At 35.6% G+C, this 18,787-nt stretch overlaps 1 protein-coding gene across 7 annotated transcripts in view; it reads right to left on the bottom strand.

The window, feature by feature from the left end:
* STX17 (syntaxin 17) overlaps positions 1-18,787 on the bottom strand; it is a 67,881-nt gene that overhangs the window by 35,343 nt on the left and 13,751 nt on the right. For 5 of the 7 annotated variants that reach the window (XM_047423551.1, XM_011518821.4, NM_017919.3 and 2 more), the window contains exon 3: positions 10,349-10,414. In XM_047423551.1, coding sequence (XP_047279507.1) covers positions 10,349-10,414 — 66 coding nt within the window. Of the gene's footprint in view, positions 1-1,115; positions 7,493-10,348; positions 10,415-16,896; positions 16,987-18,787 lie in introns of those variants that run through there. The other 2 variants (XM_047423552.1, XM_011518823.4) reach the window with 2 other exon arrangements.

The following is an 18,787-nucleotide window of genomic DNA, read 5'->3' as shown; positions in this document are numbered from 1 at the left end:
CTTCTCCACTCTCCTCCTCATTCCCTCTCTTTTCTATTGTTTCTCCCTTTTAAATCATCCCCCTTTTTAAAAATTAAAAAGTAGATAGCTCAAGTGTTCTATGTTTTTCCTAGTAAAATCATGAAAGTCACATCTCACATCTACAAATTCCATGGCTGATTTTATTTTTGTGCATCTGTGTGCTTACGGAACTGGGATAGCTTCTCCAAAGCCGTATCTTTCCAAATGTGGTCTGAGATCTACTGAATCAGAATCTCTAATGTGGATCCCAGAAATCTGTGACCTCAACAAGTTCTACATCATCACTATTATGAAGAAAAATCTCAGGCCGATAGCTTCCTTCCTTCTTCCCTCCCTCCCTCTTATCAGGTCCTTCCCTCCCTCCCTCCCTCCCTTCCTTCCTTCCAGACAAGGTCTCACACTGTCACCCAGGCTGGAGTGCAGTGGCATGATCATGGCTCACTGCAATCTCAATATCCCAGGCTCAAGAAATCCTCCCACCTCAGCCTCCCAAGCAGCTGGACTACAGGGCACACACCACCATGCCTGGCTAATTTTTTGGTATTTTTTGTAGAGACAGAGTTTCACCATGTTGCCCAAGCTGGTATTGAACTCATGAGCTCAGGCAATCCATCCACCTCGGCCTCCCAAAATGTTAGCATTATAGGCGTGAGCCACTGCGCCTGGCCTTTATCAAATTTCTATAAAAGCCAAGTTAATGTTCTTCAGTGAATTATTATAGTAGTAACAATTTCCAACTCTCATTTAGTTTCAAATTTTGATCACAAAATGTTTCTTAATCCTAATGTTTTCTTATCGTAGAAAAGAAAATTGTTAAGTATACTATATTTGCAGTTTCAAAACAATAATAGATGACTTCTGGTTCTGTCCAAGGTGAGCACTGTTCATTTAACAGAGCCCTGGAGAGGAGAGTGCAGCACAGGGAGAGAGAGCCCTGGAAATATGCAGAGGGATCAGTGATACATCGGTATTTAGAGGTCACTAAATACCAGAATTCAGCAAAGAACTGATCAGAACATGTATGTGAGGAAATTACCCAAAGCTGGCGAGGAAACCACCTGAAAAAGTTAGAGAGAACAGTACCCAGCACTCACTCAACACTGGAGACACTGCCTGTTGCCACCAGCCAAAATGGGAAAACTCTTAATTCACAGGGCATTGAGTAGTGCACTCAAAAAGGTTTTGCCCCCATGATGAGAAATAATTAGCCACAGACTGAGCAGCGCTATAGTTAAGCCTAATGAATCATAAGAGTAAGACCCTAAAGGATCAGTTTCCAAGCAACTTAACTACATTCCAGAACAAAGCTCATTGTTTTATATAAACATAAGATGTATAAAACATAAAAATATCCAGCACCTACCAAAGTAAAAGAGACCCAATCAAATATCACTAGACACAAAGAAACAAGAAAACATCACCCATAATGAAGAAAATAATCACTGAACTGAAATTGACCTAGAATTGCCATAGATATAAGCATTAGTAGAAAAAGATATAAAAATAGCTATTACAATTGTATTTCATGTGTTCAAAAAGTTAATTAGAGACACAGAAGATATAAAAAAGACTCAAATCAAAATTCTGGAGGGGAAAACTACAATATGTGAGTGAGATAAAGAATACATTGAATAGATTAATGGCAGACTAGACACTGCTGTTAAGACTAATAAACATAAAGGCATGGCAATAGACACTATCCAAAATAAAACACACAGATAAAACAATCAAAAAGAATTAAAAGAGCATCAGTGAGCTATCACATAACTTTAAGCAACCTAACATATGTGTAATTGGAGCCCTTGAAGGAGAAGAGAAGGGAGGGGACAGAAAAATATATGAATAATGGCCAAAAAGTGCCCATATTTGATGCAAACGATAAGTCCAGAGGTCCAAGAAGCTCAATAAATTCAAAGCACAAGACAGGAAGAAAATGCCACCAAAGCCTATCATAATCAAAGTGCCCAAAACCAGAGATTAAAGGAAAATCATAAAAGAAGCGAGAGAAATGAGACACATTACATACAAAGGAACAATGATAAGAATTAAGCAGATTTCTCATCAGAAACAATGCAAGTGAGAAGACAGCTGAACATCTTTAAAGTACTGAAAGAAAAAAGTCAATGTATATACAGCAAAATTTCTTTTAAAAACAATGGCGAAATAAAAACTTTTCAGATATACAAAAACTCAAAGTATTCGTCACAGCAGAATCACACTCCCAGAAATGTTAAAGGAAATCTTTCCAGCAAAAGGAAAACCACACCAGATGGAAATATGGATCTACATAAGGGCATTAAGCACACTAAAAATGGAAATGACACCAGTACATATATAAGATTTTTTTCTTTAATATCTAAATCACTTAAAAAATAAATGCCTATTTAAATATTATGAAGTATATGATGTATAAAAGTTAAATATATGAGAACAACAGCATATAGGCTGGTAGAGGAGAAATATAGGTGTATTGTTAAGTTTCTTAAACATATGTGAAATAGAATAATACCACTTGCAAATAAACTGTGATAAGATGTACACTAAAGACCCTAAAGGAACCACTAAAAGAGGTATTAGCTAGCAAGGCAAGGAGATAAAATGGAATAAAAAATTCATGAAAGAAGGAAAAAAGCCATAAGCAGTTATAACATTTAGTTATAAAATCAAAGAGAACAAGAGAAGTTGTTTTTAATTTATTAAAATTCAAAATTCAAAAGAAAACAGAAACATCATTAATCATTAAGCAAATGAAGGTTAAACTCATGAGATACCATTACAGACTTAATTAGAAGGGTGAAAATTTAAAAGGCTGACTATATCAACTGTTTGCAAGGACAATGGAGGAACTGGTGGGAATATAAAACGATACAATCATTTTGGAAAACAACTTGGCAGTTTCCTAAAAAACAACTACTATATGTTCCAGCCATTCCACTCCTAACTATTTACCCACAATAAATGAAATCCTTTGTCCACACAAATACCTGTACCCAAATGTTCATAGCAGCTTTATTAGTAATAGCCAAACAGTGGTATAGTGGTATAGCCATACAATAGAATACTATTCAATAATAAAAAGGAATTAAACACTGACAGACATTACAACATAAATGAATTTCAAAGTATTTATGCAGAGTGGAAGAAGCTCAGAGCCTTCCAAAAGCTGCCTACTAACTCTAAGTTACCATATCCTGCAAGGCTCTCCATGATCTGACCCTCTGATCTCTTTGACTTCATCTCCTGTACTCTCCTTGCTCACACTAGCCACACTGACCTCCTTACTGTTCCTTACTATTTCTTGACTATGCCACATCCTCTCACCTCAGAGTCGTCCCTCTGCCTGGAAAATTCTATTCCCCATGGTTTATGCCTTCACTTCCTTTAGATCTCTGCTCAAATGTCATCAGAAGCCTTCCACAAACACCATTTATTTAAAAGAACACTCAACACCTTCTGTGATTCTTTGTTGCCTTTAACCTGCTTTACTTTTCTTCATGGCACTTATAATCATCTAACATATTACATGTTTGTTTACTTTAAAAAAATCTCTCTCTGCTCTCTCCACTTGCCACCGCCACAGATGTATGCCCAGTGTCTAGAAGAGTATCTAGAACACAGCAAATGTTCAAATGCTTCTGCTTTTCTAATAATCAGGTCAGAAAAGCAGGTATTGTACCAAATTCTGAAAATTTTCAGAAATATCCAGCAGTTAATCAAGGGGTCTATAATCACTGACATAAGTTTTTAAAAAAGAACATATATCAACTTAACAAGCTTTGCAGTGTACAGATAGTAAACTGTAAACTATAGCTACACTTTTTCTTTTTTTTTTTTTTTTTTTGAGATGGAGTGTCGCTCTGTCACCCAGGCTGGAGTACAGTGGTGTGATCTCGGCTCACTGCAAGCTCCTCCTCCTGGGTTCACGCCATTCTCCTGCCTCAGCCTCCCGAGTAGCTGGGACTACAGGTGCCCACCACCACATCCGGCTAATTTTTTGTATTTTTAGTAGAGACGGGGTTTCACTGTGTTAGCCAGGATGGTCTCGATCTCCTGACCTCGTGATCTGCCCGCTTCAGCTTTCCAAAGTGCTGGGATTACAGGTGTGAGCCACTGCGCCCAGCCTACACTTTTAATAAATTAAAAACAACTTCTCTCTTTTGTTCTCTTTGGTTTTATAACTAAATGTTATAAGTACTTATGGCTTTTTTCCTTCTTTCAGTAATGTCCCAAAACTTCTGTCTAAAGATTAAAAAAAATTCAAATATATACTTATCTATACTGATAATTGTAAAAAGTAATTATTTTAAGTTAATTGAAAATTCTGAAAAATGGCTAATTATGTATTTAATGATTAAGAGTGGCTATGCATATATTTGCATTTTTAAAATATTGATTTAAGGATTCTTAATGTGTTTTTACAACATGTAATTTTGAGAACAAATTGTGTACAGCAGAAAACATTTGGTATCATAATAATTAATCTGATTTCTTTACAAACACAGAGCAGAAGTCCACTGGTAAACATTTAAATAACTTAGAGTAAACACATTCTAGACAGCATATAATTTATTGCTAAGGGCTCCAGAGTCATAGCTATTTAATTAAAATAAATCTGGACTATTCTTTCATTACCTAACTACTATACTTAAGGCACTGATACTAATATAATGACTTCTCACTTATTTCAACATCAAAAGTCACCAGAAAGAATATATATAGCTTAACAAGTATTAACTAAGCCACCAAAAAGAGTAAAAATCAATAGAGAAAAAGGTCTCCATTTATTTAACAAATATCTAATGAGCATCTTATACAGGTATTAAGTGTAGCACTCGAATCCCTATCCACCTGAATTATTATTCAAAATGTTTCCAGATTAAACTAAAAACACTAGAATACAACACTGGAATGGGTTCTCATTAAAGATTCTTATGAAGTGCCAACTAAGAGCACTGACACTATGCCAGATAAACTGGTTTCCTACTACTTCTTAGACAAACACTAAATCTCTTCAGCTTTCTGGTATCTGAAAAATGAGGATAATACCCCCTTATCCAGCATCCAGATAGCAGGTACTATATCATTTATTGGTCTCTATAATGCAATTGTCAATTAATCATATTCTGACTTACATTAACTTTTACTAAGGTTTTAAACTATTGTTTAAATACTTAATTTAACTTTTTGTGAATTCCTGTCTATGTAAGTTCCTTCAAGGTAGAAACTGTGATGTACTTTTCAGAATCCTCTATTATCAATTAGTATTGTTACTAAATATTAAGTATTTGGGAAGAAGAGCTGAGGAAGATGAAGCTTTGTAAAATATTCCTTTTATACTTTTGTATGGTAAGTGACAAAAATGGGGAAAATAATGCAATTACAATGTGTTTTAAATTAAACTAGCAAGTCAACAAATAAGCAGCTTTACTTCTGCCCAGATTCAAGAGAAGGGAAATTAGACTCCACCTATTGGTGGGGGAGTAGCAAGGTCATAATGTAGAAGGCCATGTGGGATGGGGGATATTTTTGTGGGTATCTTTAGAAAGTACAATGTACCACAACCTGTACGCAAAAAACTATAAAGATCCCCAAATATTAAAGAAGATAAATACAAATGCAAGAATATCCCATATTCACAGGCAGGAAAACTAGATATTGTAAAGATGTCAATTTTCTCTACCAATGCAACTCCCAACTTCCCAACAAGACTGTGTATGGACTTTGAAAAGCTGATTCTGAATTTCATATGGAGGACTAAAGAGCCAAGTATAGCCAAAACACTCCTGAAAAGGAAGGATACTGTGGAAGTATTGTACAATCAGATATCAAGCTTTATCTTAAAACTGTCATAATTAAGACAGTGTGTGGAATTTGGTGCAGAAATAGACTGACAAATGGAATAGAATATAAAGATCAGAGACATATGGAGTTACATGCATCTTTGGAATTACAATGTGCTTCAGAAGTAGCACCACAGAAATCAGGTAATAGTGTAACACACAAGTGATTTTCAAGATGGAATAAAATAAAATTTTATTGATGTCTACCTCATACCACCAATTCCAGATGGATTAAAGACTTGAATGTTAAAAGCAAAATATTTAAAACACTCAGTTAAATATATAAAGAAATATCTTCTTGAATCCTCCAAGAGAGGATTTCTTGAACAAGCCGCCAAAGTAGGAACCATAAAAGATTGATAATTTAAACTACATTTAAATTAAGAACTTATTTTTATCAAGATACCATAATGAATGTGACAATATAGCTCTTACTACGTAAATCTAATGATGATAAATCTAGAAAATCTGTTATAATTGTTGATGAGGTTATTTGTCCCAAAATAACTTTTACACTAACTAGCAAAGTAGAAATCTATACACAAAATTCAGAGCAGATATGAGTAAAACTCACCAAATACCTACATCTAACAATAGCTTCAATCTTACTACTCTAATGGCACCCATAAATCTTTTATGCCAGATGGAGGTCAATACGGTAAATATATACGCAAATTTTAAAAATCAGTAAACAAATACTTTGATCATAGCCAATGTCTCAACCAAATCATGTGATTTTTAAATGATAGATTAAACAGTGAAGATTGTAAGAAATCTAAGTCATAATAATCTCATTAAATCATTAACATGCTGAGTACCATTCAATAGACACCAAATCTTGCTGGGCACCAGGTGCTGCAGAATATACAAATAGTGGAGACATAGTCTCTGCTTGTTAGACCTATCATCTAATTAGCAAGCAGTAAATACAGCTATAGAGAGATAAGTCAAATTTCCATCTAAATCTCAAATCAATCTGTTTTCCTTCATCTCCATTATCTCTAAGCTACTAACATCTTTTTCTTGGACCTCTGTAACCCTTCCTAATGATCTCTTGAATTCATTTCATTCTATCACAATTTAATCACTATACTGCAGCTATAATAACCTTTCTGAATTCAAGAGGACCACAGATGTATTCTTTGGAGCAACTGACTCTAGATTCAGAAACACCAGGTACAGGGCTAAAAAGCCTGTACTGAATAAAGCCCAAAAGTCTTTATCTAATCTGCCTCTATAACTTTGTAAGATAAGCACCTACCTGCCGTAGGGGGAAAATGAGAATTCTTCTTCAGAAAACTAAATAAGAACAACCTCCAGATACTGATATTTGGAGGTATCCCTAAGGAAAACGCCAGCTTGCCCAAGCATCCTTAAGTGAAGTCCACCAGAAGACAAGCAATCTACTTTTTAATATTTCAGAAAAACAAACAAAAAAACCTATTACACCCATAGACAAAATGCTATCAAGAAAGGAAAAGAGAACAAGAAAAAGCTCTTGTAAACTAAATATCATAATAGCAGAAAAAAAGAATTCAAAGGAAAAAGGTAAAGAGAAACCTGAGGAAATCTTTTAGAAAACAGAGCGAAAATCAGACAAGCAACCCAAGAGTTCCAACATCCAATAGAACAGGGACTGCCAAATTTTTTCTACAAAGAACCAGACAGTAAATAGCTCAAGCTTTGTAGGCCATACAGTCTCTGTTGCAACTACTTAACTCTGCTGTTACCGTGTGAAAGCAGCCAAAGAAATGTGTAAGCAAATGGGATAGACAGAGGCCAGACATAGCCTCTGAATCAGTTTGCGGACCTTTAGAATTAAAGAAAAAAAAAAAAAGAGCAAAATGAGAAAACACAGAAGAATAAATGACCAAAGAAAAATCTAAGAAAATTACCCAGAACTAAAGCACATGAATTTTTAGAAAGAAACAGTCCAACACAATGACATCATCATCAAATTTCAGAATACCAGGGATGAACTAATCACAAAAGCTCCCAAAGAGGGAAAAAACAAAAAAACAAAACCAGGTCCTGTACAAAGACTGGAAAATCAGCTGGGCGCAGTAGCTCACGCCTGTAATCCCAGCACTTTGGAAGGCTGAGGTGGGCAGATCACAAGGTCAAGAGATTGAGACCATTCTGGCCAACATGGTGAAACCCCGTTTCTACTAAAAATACAAAAATTAGCTGGGCATGGTGGCACGCATCTGTAGTCCCAGCTACTCAGGAGGCTGAGGCAGGAGAATCGCTTGAAACCGGGAGGTGGAGATTGCAGTGAGCCAAGATTGCATCACTCACTGCACTCCAGCCTGGGCGAAAGAGCGAGACTCCATCTCAAAAAACGAAAAACAAAACAAAACAAAACAAAAGACTGGGAAATTATATGATACTAGCTTTTTAAAGTATAACACAAAGAAGATAGAAAGCCTTCAATATTGAAAGAGAATTCCAACTAGAATTCTATATCTAGTGAAACTAGCAATCACATGTCAGGAGAGAATAAAGGCATTTTTTAGAAATACAATTACTTATATTTATCTCCAAGGTACCCTTAATTAGAGGGCTACTGCAAGATTACTCCAATAAAACAACAGAATAAAGCAAAAATGAGGAAGGCATAATACCTAGGAAAATAGAGATGTAAACACAGAAAAGCAGCTAAGGAAAGTCCCAGAACAGGAGCTGCACAACAAGCCTAGAAAGTTCACATAGGAAGTAGGGGAAGAAGAGTTCAGAAGAACATCTTTAAAATAAAGAATGGAAAAGCCGGGTGCAGTGGCTCACGCCTGTAATCCCAGCACTTTGGGAGGCTGAGGCGGGTGGACCACGAGCTCAGGAGATCGAGATCATCCTGGCTAACATTGTGAAACCCCATCTCTACTAAAAATACAAAAAATTAGCTGGGCGTGGTGGTGGGCGCCTGTAGTCCCAGCTACTCGGGAGGCTGAGGCAGGAGAATGGCGTGAACCCAGGAGGAGGAGCTTGCAGTGAGCCGAGATTGAGCCACTGCACTCCAGCCTGGGCGACAGAGGGCGACTCTGTCTCAAAAAAATGAAATGAAATAAAATAAAATAAATAAAGAATGGAACTGACATATTTGAGCATATAAGAAATATTACTGGCCAGGTGCGATGACTCATGCCTGTAATCCCAGCACTATGGGAGGCCAAGGCAGGCGGATCACAAGGTCAAAAGTTTGACACCAGTCTGGCCAATATGGTGAAACCCTATCTCAACTAAAAATACAAAAATTAGTCAGGCGTGGTGGTGGGTGCCTGTAGTCCCAGCTACTTGGGAGGCTGAGGCAGGAGAATTGCTTGAACCCGGGAGGTGGAGGTTGCAGTGAGCCGAGATTGCAACAGTGCACTCCAGCCTGGGCAACAGAGTGAGACTCTGTTGCAAAAAAAAAAAAAAAAAAAAGAAAAGAAAAAGAAATATTACTGACAGCATGTGACAGAGATATGGAGCATTTAGAGAAAATTAACCACAAGATACACAGAAAGCCAGACAACTAAAAAATGAGGTAATTATTAACTTTTTAAAAAGTAAAAGTTAGTACTGTATTTCACTATTTGACTCAGCAGAAAACAATATCTCCATAATCAATATAATGAGTTTATATTATATTAATTTAACCAAAAATTGTAATATATGTAATTATATGGGGGAAGGGAAGTAGGAGAGCAAGGTAGGAACCTAGAGCTCCACCTACCATAAGAAAAAAAAAATCTAAACCTGATTAATCAAGAAATATCAGTCTACACATTATTTAGTAATATAGGTAAATTTCAGGGAGAAAGGCCAAAAGGATTAAGAATGGTTTCTTCCAAGTAGGAGGACTTGTAGGTGGAGAATATAGGATATTATAAGCCCTCTATTTGTATTTGGCTTTTAAAACCATGTAAATATATTATTTTTAAAAATTATGTTAAAATAATTAAAATGTATTTTTAAAAAGCAAATAACTAGCAAAGAATATTTGCAATACTAATTGTAGACAGAAGATCAGTATCTTTCAAATTATAAGGAGCTCTCACAAAAGACATCAACATAATATAAGATATACAAATATATTAACAGGCAATTAACAAAAAAAAAAAAAATTACTGCCCAGGCAATGTGAAAAAAAGTTCACCCTTCAAAGTATTTACAAATCCAGATTAGAACAACGAAGTGGCACAATTTTAACCTATCAATTAGCAAAAATTTAAGAAATGGGTAATACCAATGTTAAAGGATTTTACAAAATGTATTGCTTGTGAGAGTATAAGTCTGTGTATCATTTCTGGAGGAAAATTTGGTAACAAAACAAAACTTTGAAAATATGTATGGCATGTGATTCAGCAATTTCTGCTAAAAATGTATCCTCAAGTAAATAGTAACAAATGTGTATAAAAGGGTTCAGCTGCAAAGGTAATATTTTAGCAAAATTGTCTTAAGACTGTCTTTTTCATACTGATTTAGCAGAAAAAATATAATAGCCTTACCTGAACTGTACGTCCTGCATTGATATGCTCTTCATGCAACTTGTCCCAGATTCTGCACCTTTGATACTATATAAAAGAAAGAAGGGAGGTATTAAATTTTTCATCACTAAAGGGTTATTTCCCATTACCACAAAAATCCCCACTCACCCACCCAAACTTAAACATACTATCTAGAGAAGAGAGTGATTTAGTAGTGGTAATTAACTTTCCAAACACATACAAGTAGGAAATTATTAAGAATGTTGCATACAAAATTACGGAAATTATAAAATAAACCAAAAAAACCCCACTAAGCAGGTTATTTTATTTTACTGAAAAAGAGTATGTATTTTGTCTATGTTGCAAACTCTCTGGAGATGGAAAATATAAAGAATTAGAATGTAAAATAATATAAAAAATGAAAAGAACAGTGTTCATAAGATATTCTTATTGTATATGAAGAATTGTACGTTTGTCATGATAGTGTTAAGTATTGAAAACTAAAATCTGAATTTAAAAAAAATAACACTGAAACCACAGACTAGAGAGTAAATAAAAAATGAGACTGCACTTTTAATATATATGTTTTAATTTTTACCAAGGCAACTGTTAGCTTTCAGAGTATCATCCAAAAAGAATTAGGAACAGAATCATGGGAATTTTTTCATTTGATAGGAACCATAGGAATATGTGATATTATAGCAGAATATTTATATAGAATATAAACATCAACACCAAATATCATATGTTATTTTTATTGGAAATTAAAAAATCAAATAATTAAAATGTTAGCAGATGTGAATAGTTACATTAAACACATTTTTGATACTTTACACATTCCCAAAACATCAACTTAGAAATAATTTGAAAGGATAGAAACATAAAAATTCCCTCATATATGCATAGAAAACATACATTATAAGAGTAGAGCATTAAAAAAAATTTCTAGGGCATTTTTATATTCCTCGTTCTGCACATTCTTAAAATTTGGTAAAGAATGATGTAGCAAAAACTTCTTTTGATACTCCTAAAATTTTTACATAATCTAAGAACTAAACAATAACTATTAAGCTTAAAACAATTAGACCGGCCAGGCGCGGTGGCTCATGCCCATAATCCCAGCACTTTGGGAGGCTGGGGCAGGTGGATCACCTGAGGTCAGATGTTTGAGACCAGCCTGGCCAACATGGTGAAACCCCGTCTCTACTAAAAGTACAAAAAAATTATCTGGGCATGATGGCAGGTGCCTGTAATCCCAGCTACTTGTGAGGCAGAGGCAGGAGATCGCTTGAACCTGGGAGGTGGAGGTTGCAGTGAGCCAAGATCGTGCCACACTGCACTCCAGCCTGGGCAACAGAGTGAGACTCCTTCTCAAAAAATAAATAAATAAATAAAAATATTTTAAAAAATTAGACCATATTGAAAATGTATTTACCAAACATAAATTTAAAACCATTACCAAACCACTTTCATTTATAAGAAAAATTTAATTGATGCCATCAGATCCAGTGTGAAAGCTCTTTTAGGCAGTGTTATAACAGTAATAAAAGTTTGAGAAAGGAAGCCAGAGATTCATGTTTGAAAATAAACCACTTTTAAATTAATTGCCCACTACTAACCTGTTGCGATATTTTAAGAAAAATTAACACTAAGGAAACAGAGTTGAGAATGTGTAGATGCCAAGGCTATCAGAATTCATGGATCAGAGAATACCAGAGAGGAGAAGGCTGCATGGTGAAGGGCTAGTTGCACTGAGAGGAGAGGAATACACTGAGAGAGAACTCCAGAGATCTGCAGGGTTTTCCTTTTGAGTCTTCAACAAAGGACTCCTCCACACATGCATGTGAGGGAACAACCCGTGGTCAGAAAAAGAACAGGTAGAATAATTCCTGAAGATCACCCAAGGCTAGAAATGGTACATGTGACCACAAGTCAGAGTGGAAAAACCTTGGAATACACTGAGTATCAGGTAGAATACTCCAAAGTATTGCTCTCTGTAGGAAAAAATTAGCCCTGAACTAAAGGCTGTTCTGGTCCTAAGCAAGAAAGGTTAAAAGAAAGACTCAAGGCTGGGCGCAGTGGCTCACGCCTGTAATCCCAGCACTTTGGGAGGCTGAAGCGGGCGGATCACAAGGTCAGGATATCAAGACCATCCTGGCTAATATGGTGAAACCCCGTCTCTACTAAAAATACAAAAAAATTAGCCGGGTGTGGTGACAGGCACCTGTAGTCCCAGCTACTCAGGAGGCTGAGGCAGGAGAATGGCAGGAACCTAGGAGGCAGAGCTTGCAGTGAGCCCAGATTATGTCACTGCACTCCAGCCTGGGCAACAGAGCAAGACTCTGTCAAAAAAAAAAAAGAAAGACTCAAAAGGATCAAACTGTTCCCAACGAAACTGTGTTTCAGAATAAAGCTAAAAAATATTTAAATAAATTAAAAAATATTCAGTACCCAATAAAGTAAATTTCACAATGTCTGGTATCCAAAAGATAATTGCCATGCATGCAAAAAAGCAGAATAACATGATCTGCAATGAGAAAAACCAATCAACAGAAATAGACCCAGATATGATAGGGATAATGGAATTAATAAATGAGGATATTAAAAACAGTTATTATGATATGTTCCATGTATTTAAGAAGGTAGAAGAAAATATAAGCACATTAGAAGAAAAGCCATATAAGATATTTTAAAATATTAAATTAATAGAATTTAAAAAAAGAGTACCTGAAATTAAAAAATGCACTAGATGGGATTAATAGCAGATAAGACAATGCAGAAGAAAAGATTAGTAAACCTAAGGACACAGCAATAGAAACTATCCAAAATGAAACACACAGAGAAAAATAAGTTGAAAATAAATTAACCAAGATCAATAGTCATGGGCCAAATGAAAACAACATAAAATACATGTAACTGGACTCCATGAGAGAAAAATAATTTGAAAAACTTAACGCCAAAGATTTTCTACATTTGAGAAAAATGAGAAAACCATAGATCCAAGAAGCTCAAAGGACAAGAAAAATGAAGAAAGCTATACTAATGCACATTACAGTAAAATTACTTAAAATAAATAAAGAAAAACATCTTAAAAACGGGAAGAAAAAAGACACATGAAATACGAAGAAACAAAGATAAGAATGACAGAAGACTTCTTGTGAGAAACAATCCAAGCCAGAAGACAGTGGGACAACATCTTGGAAGTATTCGAAAATGACAGAAAATGCAACCTAGAATTCTATCCCCAGAGAAAGTTGTTTTTTAAATAAGGCAAAATAAAGATATTTTTAAACATTAAAAAGCTGATAGAATCCATCACCAGCAGAAAGGTGTGCTAGAAGGAATGTTTAAAAAGTACTTCAAGTTGATAGAAAGGGGATACCTGACAGAAACCGGATTCTACACAAATGAACGAAGAGCACTGAAAATGGCACATACGGATACATATGTAAATATAAATATTTTTCCTTATTTTTACAATCTCTTTGAAAAATAACACAATTTAAAGCAAAAATAACAAAAACAAATGGGGCTGATAATGTATGCAGAAGTAAAATGTATAGCAACCACAGCAAAAAGACCCTAAGAGAGGACCTAGAAGTATACTGTTAGAAGGTTCTTATATGTGAAGTGAAATATATAACATTACTTGAAAATAGACTGTGATGTTAAAGATGTATACTCTGAACCATAAAGCAACCACTAAAAAAATAAAAAATAAAAAACCAAGAGCTATAGTAAGCCAGCAAAAGGAAAAAAATTGAATCATAAAAAATATTTGATTAATCCAAAAGAAAGAGGGAAAAGAGAACAGATGGACAAATAGACAAAAATAGCAAGACGGTAGATTTAAAGATAATCATTTGACAAAAACTGAACATTTATTCATTATAAAAACTCTCAGCAAACTAAAAAATAGAAGTTAACTTCCTCAACCTGACAGCAGGAATCTACAAAAACCCTACATTTAACACCATACTTAAGTGGTGAAAGACCATTCTCTAATATTGGGAAGAAGGTAAGGATGTCTGATCTCACCATTCTTACTCAACTTCATACTGGAGGCCCTAGCCAGGGCAATAAGGTTAAAAAAGGAAGGAAGGATGAAAGAAGGGAGAGAGGGTGGGTGGGGCAAAGGCTAGAAAAAAATAAAATTGTCTTCACAGATTACATGATTGTCTACATAGAAAATATCAAAGAATCTACAGAAAGCTACATAATATTAAAAGGTGGCCCAATGATTGCAGGCCATAAACTGAGAATTACTTGTATCATGAAGATAAATAATATCTACCCCATAGGGTAGGTAAGAGTAACTCAACTCACTATGCTTACCAAATATCAAAAATACAAAACCAACAACACAAAGAATATATCTCAGGAATGTTCTGAATCTAATGCATTAGAAACTATTAACTGATGGTGTCCGTGATATTATGATTATATAAATATTACATATATATAATATATATACATTGGTCTTTGTCCACAGTTCCTTGATCATAACTCCCATGGCCCACGTGGGACACATGACAGACACATGTCTTTTGTTACAATGCTGGGGCACTTTCAGTGTCCAAAGTAGACCTCAGGAAACAGAATCTCTCTCTGACCTCCTGCCCTCCGAACCTGCCAATGGCGGGACTCTAAACTGATTGTGGGTCATAAGACACTCATTCCAGAGGGGGTCCTGCCCCATACCCTGGAGGAAGAAATGTTACATGGAGAGGCCAATAAGAATCTGAACAGACAGGCCTTGTTGGGTTTCTCCACTCAGTCTGTTAGTATTAGATCATACCCTTTTTGTCCAATCACATTTTGACATGGTTGTCTATGCTTCCATCATGCCTATCCAATAAAGTCTCCATAAGAGGTACAAGAGGACAGAATTTAGAGAGCTTCCAGAGAGATGATCACATGGAGGTTCCTGAAGGGTGGTGTCTCCAGGGAGGACATGGAAGCTCTGCACCCATTCCCTCATACCTCACCTTATGCATCTCTTCAGCTGTATCCCTTGTAATATCCTTTATAAAGAACTGGTAAATTGTCTCCCTGAGTTCTGTGAGCCATCCCAGCAAATTAATCAAGCCCAAAAAGGGATCGTGGGAACTCCAACTTGAAGCTGGTTGTTTAGAAGTTCCAAGGGCCTGGACTTGTGACTGGTGGGAGGGAAGGGTGTGGTCTTGTGGGACTTGACTCTCAAACTGTGGTTTCTGAGGCTATCTCTAGGTAGACAGCACCAGAATTGAATTCAACTAGAAGATACCTAAGCTAGGGTCTGTTGAACTGATTGCTTGCTTGAAATATGGGGAGAAACTCACACACATTTGGTCACAGAAGTCTTCTGTGTTGGTGACTGTTGTTGTTGAGTGAGAGTATAAGAGAAAACATGTTGTGTGTTGATTTTTCCATTCACAGTGCCTATGCTGAATGCCTGGGTAACCTAACTTACTTGCTATATTCTCCACTTCCAAGTATCAACCTTGCATGCAGGTTTTTTTCATATAATATCTTAATCTTCACAATAATCTTATGAGGAAGATTATAATTTTACTATTACAACTGTCTAATATCATAGACATTTGCAGCTTTCCCATGAATTATTAAAATGTGAATGTTCAAGTACTACGCTCACTACCTGGTGAAATCATTTGTACATCAAACCCCAGCAACACACAATTTACCCATGTGATATTCCTGCCCATATACTCCCTGAACCTAAAATAAAAGTTGGAAGAAAAAAAAGAGAGGAAAGGAAAGAGAGAAAAGAAATAGAAGATGAAGGAGGAGGAAAAGGAGGACATAGAAAAGGGAATAAAAAAGTGTTGTAAAAAAAAAATTGGTTCTACAGGTTTTGAGAGGTTTATTTGTCAATGTCACTTGAAAAGTTCCACCAGGGGACAGGAACAATTTTCTTCATCTTTTTAAAATTCAGATGAGTTTATTCATCAGTGTTTATACTGCTTCCACTGCCCAGACCTTGGGAAGAACAACTTTTGGCTTGTGTGACACACACCACACCATGGCCCTCCAGGTTTGGAGATGGAGCACTCAGTCTAATTTTAGCAGTAAGATTAGACTAGTGAATGATAGTCCCACTTCTCCCTTCTTCAAAAGCATAGATGGGGAAGACCTTCCTTAAGCTGAGTGATTCCATCTTGCCCACCCCTTGCTGCCCCTGGAATGGGGCTCTGCAAGTTGCTGTCTCCACAGGGCTTAGGTCCTGATAAGAGGCCAACTGTGAGACAGTGGCATTTAGGACTACACATGTGGGACACATGACAGACACAGAGGATGACTTGACAGAGATATCTTCAGCTTCCTTCCTGTCTTCTTGATGTTCTCGTTCAGCAAGAATATACCCTTCTAGGTTGTTATAGTTTGACAGTAGATAAGGACAATTTTAGTTAGTTCAATCAATATCCATTGAGCACGTACTATGTGACAGGCATTGGAAATACAGATAGGCGTTGGGGAAAATGTCAAAGTCCTTGCCTCCTTCAGTCTACAGTCAGGAAGGCAGTAAACATCCCTCATTTGCAAAATATTTTCTACCCCTCCACTCTCACCAAATATGGTCACATCTTCCAATACACAGACTGACTCCTGTCCCCTTTGGGTAAATAAAAAAAGGAAATCTTTGATGACCAGGAGATAAATAATCTGAAAGGCAAAACAAAAACAACAAACATGTTAATGTTAAATCTATGAACCTTAAGGTCTGTGGCCCAGTACTGTGTAAGGGTGGTGTGTTTATATCTGACTGGGGATGGTATCATCAGGACGTGCTGAGTAGGAAGTAACTGAGCTATGCAATAAACAGTGTCTGAAAGGTGACAAATGATAGGGTGGATATTGTCAATGGATGTAAAAGAGAAAGCAAAACTATTCAACTCCATATTTTTTCCACCTTCCTTCTTTACTGAGGAAAATGATCTTCAAAATACAAAAATCTAAAATAAAATGATTAAGAGGAAAATAAAAACAAAGGAAGATTAAGAACAAACCTAGATACTTCAGATGAGTTCAAGTCAACAGGCCCAGGGAAATTACACTCGAGAGAACCAAAAGACCTTGCAAATGTGATCACAGAAATATCTCTGCTTATCTATGAAGAACTGCAAAGAATTGGTAAGGTTCCTAAAGACTTGCAAATATTGACCCAATTTTCACAAAAGAAAGTATATTTAAAACACTGCAGGCTGTAAATCTTAATGTGAATCCTGGGGAAAATTCCATACTAGATAATTAGTGAGATGGTTTGGGAGAGCGTGTGGAAATGGTGACAGTATACCAGTGTGCTCTGGCCCTTTCCTGTCCAACATTTTCATCAATGACTTCAAAACAAAGAATGCATAATTATCAAATTTGCACATAACATAAATTAGAAGGATTAACATAGATGAAAGGTCACAATTCCATATAATAACAAATATAACAATGATAACTGTAAAGTCCAGCATTTAAATTAAAAAGAGCAATTGCACCAGTATAAGAAATAGGTGTGATCTGATTCAATACATGTAATTCATATAAAAAAAAGTCTTATGGAATTCATTTAATTGATTACAAAGTCAATTTAAAAAGCTGTCAGTATAGAGTGGCTTCTAAAATGATGTAATCTTAGGCTCTATACATGTATATTCATTCATTCAACACACTTTTTTTCAGAAGCACACTACATTTCAAGCATGTTAGAAGTTTAACACATTTACTAACATAGGGATCTCAAGCAAGTAATTTACTCTAAATCTTTCTCCACCTAAAAAGCGAAGGCAGTAACAATAACTAACCTATAATGATGCTATAAGGATTAAATGCTATGATATATAAAAACACCTAACACAGCACTCAGCAAATGAAAACAACTACTACCTCCACTGTTATTATTTTCTCACCTGTCAAGAAAACTAGAAGAGATTCCTATTTCAAGTGGAGGATGAACTAGATGAACTTATTTCTTATTACAACAAATTACAAGAAAAATAAGGAATAATTCAGATTCCTACTGTTTACATGATTTTATAACTAAATTAGGATACACTATTAAAAGTTATCAATCCAAATATTTGAGGAGGAGAAAAAACTTAAAATGATTTAGTGATATGTGTGAAAAAAATTACAAGTAACTCCTTACAAATTTAGTTAAGTTGAGATCCCTGACAAGCATTGCTAAACAGCACTACTTTTACAAAGTATCATTTTGGTACTGTCTCTTTGCATGGTGGCACTAGAGAGGTAGTTTGAAGTAGTGCCATAATTTAGCCAATTACTATGCTTTGGGTTGCAAACAACAGAAAACCCAAAGTTAAAAATGGCTTTAATAATAAGTATTTATTATCTCACATACAAAGCAATCTAGAAGTAGAATAATTCTACATTAGTTTAATTCAGAAGCTTACAAGGTCATTAAGTGTCCAAGTTCTATGTTGCTGCTTTACTACTTTCAATAAGGAGCTT

This window comes from Homo sapiens, chromosome 9 (assembly GCF_000001405.40).
Source record: "Homo sapiens chromosome 9, GRCh38.p14 Primary Assembly".
NCBI classification, from domain to species: domain Eukaryota; kingdom Metazoa; phylum Chordata; class Mammalia; order Primates; family Hominidae; genus Homo; species Homo sapiens.
The sequence above is the reverse complement of the archived record's forward strand: the minus strand, read 5'-3'. Positions and strand labels throughout refer to the sequence as shown.